Source organism: Homo sapiens, chromosome 2, assembly GCF_000001405.40.
Source record: "Homo sapiens chromosome 2, GRCh38.p14 Primary Assembly".
Lineage (NCBI taxonomy): Eukaryota > Metazoa > Chordata > Mammalia > Primates > Hominidae > Homo > Homo sapiens.
Genome location: NC_000002.12, coordinates 155,798,454 through 155,813,093, shown reverse-complemented (window position 1 = coordinate 155,813,093; position 14,640 = coordinate 155,798,454). Strand labels below are relative to the sequence as shown.

At 34.7% G+C, this 14,640-nt stretch overlaps 1 long non-coding RNA gene across 2 annotated transcripts in view; it reads left to right on the top strand.

Annotated features, from left to right (window-relative positions):
- LOC105373703 (uncharacterized) overlaps positions 1-14,640 on the top strand; it is a 158,249-nt gene that overhangs the window by 101,220 nt on the left and 42,389 nt on the right. For both annotated transcript variants that reach the window (XR_007088689.1, XR_001739749.2), the window contains one exon: positions 3,086-3,166. This is a non-coding gene — a long non-coding RNA (uncharacterized LOC105373703). The remainder of the gene's footprint in view (positions 1-3,085; positions 3,167-14,640) is intronic.

The window sequence follows — 14,640 nt, the reverse complement described above, 5'->3', positions numbered from 1 at the left end:
ACCAGTGGGGAAGAGATAAATTTTTAAATAAATGATTGTTATAATAAAAGCATTTTGTGAGAAAAACCCTTAAAATTTGATGTTCAATTTGTCCCTTACAAAATAGGTTCTCAGTGGATAAAAGATCTAAGTGTATAACATTCAATCCTAACATAGGTAAATGTGGGAAAAAGGCACTGAAATGTTATTTTACCTTTTACTTTAAAATAAGTTACCTAAATTAAATTGAAAATATTTGTAAATACTGTCTTTTTACTCTTTTTTTTTTTTTTTTGACGGGGTTTTTCTCTGTCTCTTAGGCTGGAGGGCAGTGGTGCAAACACAGCTCACTGCAGCCTTGACCTCCCAGACTCAAGTGATCCCCCCACTTCAGCCTCCTGAGTAGCTGGGATTATAGGCACGTGTCACCATACTCAACAAATCGTTTTAAATTTTTTGTAGAGATAAAGTCTCACTGTGTTGCCCAGGCTGGACTTGAACTCCTGAAGCTCAAGTGATAATTCTGCCTCTGGGTCCCAAAATGCTAAGATTACAGGTGTCAGCCACCATGCTTGGTTGTCTTTGTACGTTTAATGAAAGTACATTTTTTATAAGTGTGTCCAAATGCCTAGAAGCTCTCAACATCTCTTACCTGGGCTATTGCAATTTCCTGATAAATGTTCTCTCTACTTAGCTTTCATTCTCATGTCCTATAGTCTATTCCTTGTGGTGCAGCCTGAATGATCCTTTGTAATGTAAGTCAGATAATGTCACCCCTTTGCTCGAAATCTTCCGGTGGCTTCTTGCATCACAGCCTAGCACTCATGGATCCCCTCAGCCTTTGGCCTCTTTGCCATTCTTCACATGCACTTAGTAGGATCCTGCTTCATCTGTTGTTCCCCTATGTGGTTCACTTCCTTACTTTCTTTTAGAGTCTTATTAAATATCATCCTCTCAGAGAGGCCTTTCTTGATTGCTTTATATAAAGGAGTAGCCCCCTCCCCCTAACACCTTTTTACTCTCTCTCTTGCTTATCCTCATACTTTGCATGACATAAGAATCATATATATATATTCCTATGTCTATATATATATATATTTAATTGAGACAGGGTCTCATTCTGTTGACGGGGTCTTTCTCTGTCTCTTAGGTTGGAGTGCAGTGGTACAAACACAGCTCACTGCAGCCTCGACCTCTCTGGCTCAAGTGATTCTCCCATTTCAGCCTCCTGAGTACCTGGGACTACAGGTGCACACCACCACACTGGGATAATTTTTGGAGAGATGGAGTTTTGCCATGTTACTCAGGCTGGTCTCAGACTCTAGGGCTCAAGTGGTCCGCCTGCCTTGGCTTCCCCAAATGTTGGAACTACAGGTGTGAGCCACTGCTTCTGGCCTGTAAACATTGTTTTTAATCCTATATCTTTGCCTCCTAGGAAAGAGTGTAGGTACTCAGTGATGAATAGATCTTGGAAAACTAGTAATTTTTGACTATATAAAACTTCTAAAATTGTTAAGAAAAGCAGCATAAGCAAAGTCAAAAGATCAATATTAAACTGGGTAATTGTTTTCAACCCCACTGATGGAAAAGGGAAATTGGATATAAAAAGAGCTCTTACACATCCCTTAGGAAAAAAATAATACATATATAAACAGGTAGTGAAGATAAAAAACAATAATAATTGTCATAACATATAGGATAAGATCTGTAAACTCACTGGTAATCAGGGAAATGGAAGTAGAAATGCCATTTCTCACCATTAAGTTTACAGAACAATGAAAAAGTGTGACAGTCTACAGGGTTGGCAAGGTTTTGGGAAAATAGAATACTTACACAGTCTTGGTGTCAGGTATTGAGGTACTTTAGTAAAACTAGACTGGAGGACAATTTGGAAATAGTTGTCAACATTTTAAATGTGTATCTATTGTACTTTTAGAAATCTTTATGATGGAAAAACTCATAAAGTACACAGAAGTACACAGCATTCATTTGACATAGGACTGATCACTCAGTTCCTTGAAATAGTAGAAATATGGAATGAATCTATATGTCCTAATGATAAATCAATTTCCTGGGACAGCATGCTCATATATTTATTCAAGCCTCTGTTCAAATATCCCCTCCTACTTTCTTGATCGCCCTATCTAATGTAAGCTCCAGATTTTGTTTTGTGTCACAATGTGTGTAGAGTACTCAAATATTTGTTAAAAGAAACCTATGAACACTGTCATGAAAGGATAGTCATATGTTGTCGAGAAAAAAGCAAGTCATAGAATGATGTGTTTATATTCTTAATTTGTAGAAAAATCTGTGTGTATGAATGTATTTGTTTTTGTTTAGAAGATACCTGCAAAAATGTAAACCAATCTATCATCAGCAATGGTTCCTTCAAAGGAGTAGAATGGAGGATTTAGCTCTTTTACTTTACGTCCTACTGAACTGATTTATTTTTTAACAAGAAGCATGTGTTTATTTGACATTTAAAAATATCAAAGAACAACAAAATGCTGACTTAACTTTAAAATAGATGGCAAAACTTATAATTATTGATACCCTTTAACAGTTTCAAAAGAGAGTTATGTATGAGATTACAAATTTATTCCAGTAAATTTTCTCTCCAGGGAATAAGTGAGTGAACTAGGGAGAAAATGTGCTCATGAGTGCAGTGGATACACTTGTGAGCATGCACAAAGGTGTATGCATGTGATATGTTGCTTCTTACTCTATTCCCACTTAAGAGGTGTCAGGCCTTTTGGGTCCAAAGACAGAGCAGTTGTAATATTCATAGGGAAGAAGGGCACCCTAACATTTTCAATTTTTATTCCTACACCCAGCATCTCCCCATCATCACAAAAGCTGTATTTTTAATAGAAAAGGTGAGAGTTGACAAGTGTTCAGTATTTCAGTAAGGCTCTATTAATTTTCAGAACTGACATTACAATCTATGTTTTCTCCAGATTGCTTTCCTATACTTACCTATATGAAACTTACTTTGTGCCAATACATAGTATATTTTTAAGTCAGTTTAAAAATATTAAGGATTTAATGTGAAATTTTCATTCTCCTTGATATGTATTCATAACATATTCTCTGAATTTCTTACCAGAACTGAAAGAGAACCTTTGAAACACCCTTTAGATTAAGAGCCTGGCTTGTAATCTGTAACAACAAACGGTATTACAATGAGGTAAGAACTCTACTACATCTGTTTCTATTATTAGGATTGCTACTGATACTAATAATTATCATTATTATTGCTAACACTTATTGAGTGCTCGGAATATACCAGAAACTATTCCAAGTGGTTCATGTAATGACTCAATATATGTGTAAAGATTTAGAACTGTGATTGATGCATATTAAATGCTCACAAAGGTTAACTACTATTATTATGTACAATAAGATAAAAACTATTACTATTGTGCATAGGCAAAAACTAAGAATGTTTAAGTAACTTTCCCAGGGTTGTGCTTCATGCTGCTAACAAATGACATTATTAAGATTTGAACCAAGTTCGTATGACTCCTGTCCATATTCTTAACATTAATTCCACACTTATATTCAGCAAAATAAATCTTACATGTTACATTGTGTCATGTAAAGGATGCATATTATTTGAACCTTAAATTAAGATAGGAGCAGCAAGAACACTGAGAAAAATTAGTTCTTTTGCTGTATTTTGCCAGAAAATTCCAAAAAAGTCAAAGAACTCATTCCTCTAAACATTAAAATAAATTATTTTAACCCAAACTTGAAAAGCATTCTTGTGTTTGGTGTAAGAAAGTAGGCTTTAAGTGTAACAGAGCAGAGCCATGTTGCACAATAATCTGGTACTGAAAAGGAAAGGACAAGAGTTTTTTAGGCTCGTGGATTGTAATTACCCGGTTGGAATATTAATTCCATTTGTCTTCCTTTGAAGGGTGTTTCATCTTTTGTTTTACTCCTTGGTGGTATATCCAATTACTGAAAACAGGATGTGCTTATAAAAAAAATTCAATTCCCAGCATTGAGGAACAAATGCACATCTACTACTAATTGTTGTCATTGAAATTGAGTACCACAGAACACCAAAACAGCAAATGATGATGTTAATAATTTAAAAGAAAAAAAAACCCTTACTATATTGTGTAGCAAGAAAAACAGGGAGACCACATTTCAGGGTTTAAGTTTTCCTCTCTAGAACTAAAATGACTTAATTAGGAGAAACTTTGGAATTAGTTAGTTGTACTTGTCAGTTCCATTCCATCCAATTATGCAAAATATACAGAGCTGAAAAAATGCTCGTGTATTTACTGGGCATCGTTTCACTGAAAATGCTCAAGTTCACATACCCACTGCCCATCTGAATTACAGCAGCATTATTCACAATAAACAACTTCTCCCTTTTAAATGTTTCAATATAGACAGCCTAGAGTCCTTGATATAGAACTCAGTGTACCTATTGCAATCCATTGTCAAAAGAGGAAAAAAAGGAAGCCACTTTAGCATTTTTGAATGAGGTATTATAAAATCATTCAAAAACAAAAAATCAAAGATTAAACGAGACAGTACCATGCTTTCAATGAGGTCTGTGTTTATATTCTATTGGACAGTAGAGAATATTATTAAGCTTATACACAAACAGATACCATGAGCTTTCTTATCATGGATTCCCATGGCAATGTGTATAAGAGACATTATTTACTTAATGTACTTGTTGATGTTCTACATACTGTAGAGAAAATATTGCACTTTATTATTTCTATTGTGATGTTGCCTTTTTGAAGTAACAGGGCTGTCTCTGATGTTTTGTTTGGTGTTCCAACCCCCAAACAAAAACAAGCAAACAAAGACTCTGAATTTGTCATGCTTTAAGATCCCATTTTGTGATTCATCAGCCAGCCCTTTTCTAAGCTTTAGAGAATTTAGTTCCTTGCATGCTTAAGAATTGTGTATTTCACTACAGTCATGTGTCCCTTAATGACAGGGATGCATTCTGAGAAATACATCATTAGGTGATTTTGTCATTGCGCAAACATCCTAGAGTGTACTTACACAAACCTAGATGGTATAGCCTACTGCACTCCTAGACTATATGGTATAGCCTGTTGCTTCTAGACTACAAATCTGTACATCATGTTACTGTAGTGAGTACTCTATGCAATTGTAACACAGTGATAAGTATTTGTTTATGTAAACATATCTAACATAGAAAACCTACAGTAAAAAACTACCATATTATAATCTATGGGACCACTGTCATATATACGTGGTCCATGGTTGACCAAAGCATCGTTATGCAACTCATTACTGTATTTTAACTATATCCATCTTTTCTTTTCAATGAGTGCAAAGGAGTATCTTAGATGTAAAGCATCCCATATGCAGGGATTGTTCTGTTATTTATTCTGTGTATAAGCCCGCATGGTCTTTAATACATGTCTTTTGTTGAAGATACTAAAGAGAGGAAAGAGGATGACATCAGATTAAATGTGGTGTCAAATATTCCAGAATGAAAGATGATTGTTTCAGGTTTACTCCTCTTATATTAGGTAAGAGGAGCAGTTGAATTCATGGTGTGCAAATTAAGTAGTTGTAGTTGTTAAAGTTTAGAGCAGGATTTGGTAAAAACGAGCCTACTTTTTGTCTCATTTTAATTGATATTTGTTAGATTTATACTTATAGGTATCCTCAGATCTTATTTTTGAAATCCAATCTTTATGATAACCCTCTAAACTTTGTGATATCTTGAAATTCAAGAAGTATGTCTCTTCACATTTTCCAGTAAACACAAATGCAAGTGAGAGACTAGTAATGGTAGGATATGTGTGTGACATGCTTCTGAGTGGTATCAGTCCAATCTTCTGTACTCACATTGGTTGTGACTGTTCAACCCACCCTCTATCCAAATGCTTTGGCAACCAGCCCCTATTGCTTTCACCTTAACCAATTGTTCCAATGCCAGTCAAGACAGGTCTTTTCTGTAAAGGCAAAAAGCCTCCAAATCTCAGCAGTTGTATTACATTTCTACTACAGCCCACAAATTGTTACCAATTCATTAGCTCAAAGTGAAATACATTTGTTATCTCACAGTGTTAATGAATCAGAAGTCTCAGCACAATTTACTAGAGTTTTCTGCTCAGAATGGCACAAAGCTACACACAAGAAGTTAACCAGGCTGTGTTCCTTTCGAGAGATTGAGGTCCTCTTCCAAGTTCACATAGTTGTTGGTAGAATTCTGTTCTTTAAAATTTTAAGACTAAGAGTCCAGTTCTTTTGCTGTCTATTGGCTAGGGGATGCCTTCAGGACCTAGAGACCTTTCACAGTTTCTTGCTGTGTGCCCTTTTCCTTGGGCAATTCATATCATAGCAGCTTCTAAGGGCACCAAGAGAGTCTTTCTCCTGTAGTCTGTAAGACAGAGTCTGTTCTAACAGCATAATACGGTCATGGGTATGACATCCCATTATCTTTGCCATGTGACATAACCTATTCAAGGAGTTGACCATCCACTTACCTTTGCTATGTTCTCTTGGTAAGAGCAAATTGTTGGTTTTGCCTACATTCAATGAGAATAGATGATATAAGGGCACATCTCATCAGGGTTCACTTTAGGACATGCCTTCTACAGTGGTTTATCAAAATAAGGGTTTATTTCTTGGGCCTGCAAAGTCTGCTGCAGTTTTGAGTCACCTCAGGTAGTTTTCCTCCATGTAGAGACCCAGCTGACTGGGCTGCCTCATGAGGTCGTGTGAAACTTCATCTCAACTCAAGATCAGATCACTATGGCAGGAAAATAGAGTGTTGGAGAGCTTCACACAAAGAGTTAAAATGGTTGCACAGAATCATGACCAATTGGCCAAAACTAGCCACAAGTTCCTACCTAACTGCAAAAGGACAGGATGTCTAATCTGCCTCAAATGCCTAAGTGATGTTAAAGGTCTAACCCCAATATGAGTATTTGGAGATAGGGCCTTTAAAGAGAAAACTAGGGTTAAATAAGGTCATAAGGTAGGGTCCTAATCCAATAACTGGTGTCCTTATGAGAAAATAAAGTGACACGGGAAAATAAAGCTTACAGAGAAAAATTTGTATAAGTATAGAACATAAAGGTGGTTGTCTGCTAGCCAAGGAGAGGAGGGCCTCAGGAGAAACCAAACTTGCCAACACCTCGATTTTGGACTTTCAGCCTCCAGAACTGTGAGAAAATACATTTCTGTTGTTTAAACCACCCAGTCTGGGTAATTTGTTATGGCAGCCCTAGCAGACTAATGCACCACCAAAGAAAAAGAAATGTAATTTAGCCTAATATTTAAAGCTCTATAACTCCCTTTCATCCATTTGCTTATTTATTTTGATAGCCACACTATGAATTATGTTTTTGTTTTGTTTTAGTTCCCATTTTACAGATCAGGAGAAAGAGACTCTCAAGAGGAAAAGTAACTTATGCAAAGTCACATAGTTAACAAGTGGTTCAAACAGCCTGGTTGAGCCCCAGTACACTGCTTTGCATTCTAGGGTAATCCGGATTTTCGCCAGTGTTTTGTCTCAGGCAAAACTGGTTATTTAAGTCTATAAACATTGACCTTTGGCCATAGACAGATGGCTAAACTAAGCTTTCTACCTTGGGTTTACTAAGATTAGCCCCATAGAAACTTCAGTTTACTTGGAAGTCCCCAAGCAGCATTAATTTAGCAACTGTTTACTAACTGTTAACTCAAATTTTCTGTGATCTTAGAAAACAATATTTGAGGCAACCAATTGTAGTAACAATATTTTCTAGTGCTATTATTATGGTACACATGTTAATGGCTAGGTGTCTATGAGTAAAATATCAAAGGATCTCAGCTTGGACAGCTTTTGTTAGCAGAATTATAATATAAATATGACTGGGGGAGTGAATGCTTCTGCAAAAAGGAGATGATTATTTAAATAATAAAGAAAAGTCTCCTATTCCCATTGAAGGTGTGGTCTTGTTAAGCGCATTATTCCACAATGTGGGCAATCACAAGTTTCTGTGGTACATTTAACATAATTAATATAGGCATTTGTATTTGCAAGGATCTTTCCTCTTTCCTTTGTTCATGCCATGAACCTTATTCACCTTCATTTTTCTATTCTTAAAATATACTTTAGTTCATTAAATTTTCAGAGCACCAAATTTGCTAAAATGCATAGAGTTTATTCATGATTCGTAAATAGCATTTTTCTCTCTTTTTCCTATTGTTTAAAGCAATTTAATATATTCTGCCCAGTGCCTCTGTTTTAATACATTTAGCATTATCTGTCTATAGTTTTTATAAGATTTTCCAAAAACTTTTCAAGCTTATGTCTTCTAATCCACACCACTGTATCCTAATAATATTATCTATAGGACATGAGTTGTATCTGTTTTGTCAGATTATGGTAGAAGTTCATTTTCTATCCCCTATCACCGTCATCACAATGAGCCATTCCAAGTCACTTTGATGTGTACTTGAAGATTCAATGAGCTGTATTCCATACCAGAAGATCATCTGGGACTACAGTCCAGTCTCATATAGGAACACCCATGAAAGCTGTCAGTTCTTGCTTCAGTCTGAACTGATTGCATTTTCCAAAATGCAGATGCACCTTAGACAGTCCCTCAAAAACTCCAGAAAGTGGTCAATCACTATTTTCCAGCTAGGTCTGTGAGTGTTGGTGTGTTGCTTTAGGTCAACAGACTGCTGCTGTGTTAATGAAAACACATACAAACTGCACTTGCAGTCTTTTTTTTTCTTGAATAAATGCCCATTAAAAATAACTATATGATAATTAATGAGGAAGAAAATAGTACTGTGTAGATGGTTTGTCAATATTGTAGTTAGGTCATTCATCTGTGGAGCAGTGGTATTCACTTACTTTCTCCTTTGTTACAGAGATGTACAATTAATATTTCACTTTGTATTTTAGACACTCTTGCAAGCATTATTTTAAACAGGCAAACAGGGACCACTTCCAAGATAAAGAAAGTCGCCATTCTTTTGATGATGAATTCATAATGAAGGGAATCCTCATTCCAAATGGACTTCTATAAGGCACCATTCCCCTGAAATTAATGTTCCTAGGTATGTGGGGAGAACTAGTTAATGAATGTTAAATTAAGTAGTAACATACTTAGAGTCAGGGTGATGTTTATGTGACACTAGTTTACTTTAAAACACTCCCTATTTACCTTTACAAAAATAATACGATAGCAATTTGAGATGAATATTTACAGTACGTGGAAATAGTTCTGAAGGGCTAATTCCCAAACCACTGTTTGCAAAATGTCCTGCTTCTTTGATCTACATTTTCATAGGCTTTTTAAGGCAGAGATTGGCGAGATTGCCAGTTCAACAAGAAAATTTCTTACTTGAGAACAGATGGTACCTGCAGCCTTTAAATGGCGGGAATCAAGTAGACCAGGTTACTGAAAAAAATCACTAATTTTGTGACATGATAACATGTACATCCAAAGTACTAGCTACATTTTCAGAAAGCTTGGAAATATACAAATCCAAAGAGAATGTATCATTTTAAGTGAAAAATCTATAAATAGTTAATACTTGGTACTTTTACATTTAAAATGCTCCTTTAAAAATTAGTTCTATTTATTGATGAATATTGTCTTTACAGCTGATAGCTCTTTTTTTGGGTCTTATGTATTTATAAGTTGGGGAAAATATTTTAAATCAACGCTGTAATATAAGCATAGTTAGAGAGCTAATATGAGGATTTTTACTTCATTTACATTCATTACATATTATGAGTTTAATTACCTTCCTCAAATAATACCAGTATGAAGGAAAGATGCTGAAGAAGGCGTACTTCTATGATGATTTTATTGATTGTGACTGATGGATGGCATCAACATTTCATAGTGAAGAATCATGGTTTTCTTACATCAGGAAAATTAAATTGGGAGAGTTATTTTCTTTCCCAGTGATAGTGGCAGTTAGAATATTTCACCTGTAATGAGATGTGTGCGTTATGTGCCATCGTGAACCACGGCTCAGCCATTAAATATATGTAAATGAAGAGAAACACAAGAGAGCCCCGGCATAATAACGTGCAGAACAGAGAAATGGATCCTGGAAAGTGATTAATTTATTTGATGATGCCTCAAGTGAGGAATTTTAGGTCACAAATGAAGTGACAGAATGACAAATTACCATTTTAAAGAATTTACTGGGCATCATTACTGAACAATTGTCAGGTAGTTTATGGTGGCTGAGAAGATGGTATAAATATAGATCTTTTCCTTATCTGAGATGAATTATTAATCACCTTTTTAAAAATCTTTGTGAGTGATGGTTGGCTGTCTGATTGGAAATAATGTGTTCTACAATTTTAACTAAATTCTAATATGATATGTAACAGGAATCTTTACAATTAAAGTCTCAGTGGAGAGTGGTAGGAGGTTTACAGTCAATTGCAGTTTTAATGTGATAGAAGAGGATGAATCCACTAACATATTTCAATAGATTTCCTTAGGTATATTATCCCTGCTGTGATGTTATTCAAATGTTTACAGTTTATTTTCATTTGAAAAATGACATTCAGATACTTAAATTGTTTTCCTTGGTTTATTAGTTAATGAAAATGAAATTCTAGTAATTACTATAGTTTTGCAGCCTGCCACATTATTTAAAGTGAAGTGACTGGCTTTGTCAGCTGCATTGTAAATGTCATCTTCCTGTGTTTTGTTCAATTTTTATTTGCGTTATCTGTGTCTTGTCCCTTATCTTTCTACATGTCTACGTGTCTAATACCAGTAACGACTAGAATGTGGAAGAAAAAAAATCAGAATTTGAAACAAAAGTGTTTTCTCATTTGTTTTTATGTTTGATAATAAAAGAATATACTAACCTACTCTAGAACAGCACTAACAATACCAAAGATAAAAACAAAACTCCTCAATATAAGGTGTACTAAAATTTCTAAACATATTTTTAAATGCCTGGATGTGTCATGCTACTTAAAGCTGAGTTTATATGTCCACTCATGTTTGATCACATCAAATGTACCTCAAAGTTCCTTATTTTTAATGAGTAAAGGGTGGTTTTTAAAAAAGTGTATGTTAGATATTTAACAGAGTAGAAATGTCTAGAGAACTATTTTTAACAAGCATGTTTGTAAAGCAAGCAAATATAGCAGTTGCTGTTTGCTTTCTGGATTCAAAGGACTTAAATGACTAATCTTTCACCTAGAAAAAAGCTTGAGATTTTGCTCCTTTTTATGCTATTATGTGCACCTCCTCATTTTAATCTTGATTCCTTTTAAGAGTATATGAACCACTTAAATAAGTATTCCCTGCGTTACCTATGACATCTAACATTGCTGAACTGGAAAGAAATTTAAATTTTGAATGTACATGCCACTTTTCAACTCATTTTGCTTTGACTTTTTTTTCGTCAACCTGGATGGTAGAACATTACTGAAACTTTCTGTCATTTAAAGAAGGAAACAAAAAGATTTATTGTGCTTTGGATTTCTTGGTCCAGTTTATATAGTGTGCCCATAAAGGGCACACTGCATTTAAGGAACATTTTAGGGATGGCAGTGCTTCTTATGTGTGGTGTTTTCCTTTTCCATAAAGGATGCTTAGGTTTGCCCTGATGCCGGAACAGCACATTTCAGGTTAGTCTACACCAGCATTTCTCCATTAGAGATGACCGTCACCTTTCATTGGTTTTTTCACCCTTGCTTGCCACAGAAAATGCAAACATGCAAACAAATGAATGAGGGCATGCCCCCTCTAAGGAAAATTCAAATCCTGTATGAGGTACTATAGTGAGATTGGACTTGTTTAACCAGCATAGTTCAGAGTGATCAAGACTGTGTTGGAGGAGAAGATGATTGCTTTATGTGAACTGAGCCCTGCTGCCACACTTTAAATACTTTTCATCTTCTGCCAGCTTGCATCAGCTGTCAGAGGGACATGCAAAAAAGGAAATGAAGATGCATTTGACTCCAAAACATTTAGAGAGCAAAAGAAAAGATCCTTAAAGTGAAGAATAGATTTTAAATTCACTGAAAGACATCGAAAAGAAGATTCTCTATGCAGTTACAAGATCATGATTTTTGGCCATTTGCATGGTTCAGGAATACGATAGAAGAAGAGGAGGAGCACTTGATTAATTGAAATGTCATTGCATGGTCACCACAGGTCAAGTGTACAGAGAAAAATATATGTTGGCTACACCCTTAAGAACCTTACAAACTGATGAGAAGTTGGGTAATAGAAAATGTGCAGAAATTTCTTATAATTTTGCCACTGGGTTTTCTGAAAAATTTTATCCTGCATAAGAGACTTAATTATGTCCATTTCTTCTTTTTCAGTCAGTGTTGGTTCATTTCAGGATCAGCACTTCTCTGAACCCTTTTTTTCCATCTAAACCCTCACAGTGGCATTAAAAAAAAAAAAAAAAAAAAACCAGTCCAACCAAAAATCTCCAGGCACTATCTCCTTACTGCTTATTTTCCCAATATTTTGTGATACAAAATTTCAAACAGATTCAAGGTGAACATCTATGTGGCCACTACCTAAATTCTACCATTGATATTTTACTATAAACATTTCATCACATATCCAATTATCTAGCCATCAATCCAACTTATAATTTTTAATGCATTTATAAGAAATCGCAGACATTACACTTTCCCTAAATACATCAGCATGCCTATAATTAACTAGAGGTTAATATATGTTTACCATATTTTTTTCTCTTCAAGTACATTTTACATACACAAGACATATATACTTGCTGAGTTCTGATGAATGCATATGTTTGTATAACCCAGCCCGCTATCAGGTAGGTCACTACCTGTATCCCAGAAAATTCCCTCATCCCGTTTCTAATCAATATTCTACTTCCACCCCAAGAGAGGAAACTGCTGTTCTGTTTCTTCAATACAGATTAGTTTTGCTTGTTTTAGAACTTCATATAAAATGGAATAATACAGTATGTACTCCTTTGTGGGTGGCTTCTTTCGCTCTGCAAATCATTTTTTTGAGATCCATCCATGCTAAATGTATCAGTAGTTTGTTTCTTTCTATGGCTGAATAGTATTACATTCTCTGAATATAGTGAAGTTTGTTTATCTATTCTCATATTGATGGGCACTTGGACTTTTTCTAGTTTTTAGGTATTATAAATAAAACTTCTATGAACATTCTTTGTTATTTATGATTTTAGTTTCAATAGTTTTGAGAGTACAGGTGGCTTTTTCTTACATGGATAAGTTGGTTAGTGGTAATTTCTGAGATCGTGGTGCATCTGTTACCTAAGCAGTGTACACTCTACCCAATATGTAGTCTTTTATCCCTCACCCCCCTTGAACATTCTTTTTATGGACATATGATTATATTTCCTTTGGAAAAATATCTGAATGGAATTGCTGATAATAGAGTAGGTATATTGCTACTTTTATAAGAAACTGATGGGCCTTTTTACAAAATTAATGCTTATCTTTATATTCCCACCAACATTAAATTAAAATTTGGTTGTCTCACCTCCTTGACAACATCCGTTATTGTCAGGCTTTTTATTTTAGGTTCCCTTGCATTTTTACTTCTCTAGATTTTTCCTCATTTCTCTTGTCTTCAATCACTCTCTTTCTCCAGAATTCTTTTTATCAGCCTTCAAACATGCTCTTGTACTTTCCTCCTTAAAAAAAAGGCGAAACAAAAATTTTGACCAATGTCCCCCTTCAGCTACCACATTATTTCTCTACTCTGCTTAACAAGTATGTTTCTTCACCTTATCAATTAAGCTACCTCCACTTTATCACTTGAAATATCCTGATGTCTAGATGCTGGGATTCCTTAGACTATGGTCCTGGGCCCTCTTATGTTCTAATCATTCACTCTCTCCCCGGAAGATCATATTAATTCCTGGGGGTTTTAAATACATCTCTATGCCAACAACTTTTAAACTTATATTTCGGGCCTGTATTTCCCTCTGAGTTCTGTCTACCTTCTTTACATTTCCATTTGTCTAGGATTCTGATATTTCAAGTCACAATATCTGACTTTGAACTAGAACTCTTCCAAGTATTCTTTTCCTCCAGGATTTTTCATCTTCCTTAGGATAGTGTATTTCCTTTTCTTCATGTCTAGAAAAAAACTGAATAATATTCAAACCCAAGTTAACTTAAAAGATATAGTTTAGAAGAAATAAAAATGGTCTTAAAAAGAACATCTCAAGAATCTATTATCTAAAATAAAATTAGACAATATTTAAAAATCAATGAAAAATTCATATATCAATACTTAGTGGGTATAGCTAAAGTTAACAGTAAAAAAATTGTAGCCTTAAGATATTTATATTATGATAGGGCAAACATAAATAAGTTATGCAATCAAATTCCAATAATGAGAACAGAAAAAACAATCCTAAATAGAAGAATTTAAAAAATAAAAACTAGAAAATATTAAAATAAAATTGATGTCAGAAATGAAACATTTAGCATGATCAAAAAAGCCAGAATATGTTGTTTGAATAGACTAACAAAATTGTTAAATCTTCAGCAAGACTTTTTAAAATAAAAAGAATGTAGGCTCAAATAGGCACATTTCCAGTTAAGAAAGCAGGAGTAAATACAGTAAAGATTTAGATGATGTTAAAAAATATTATGAACAACGTTTATGCCAGTGAATTAGAAATTTGAAAATGTAT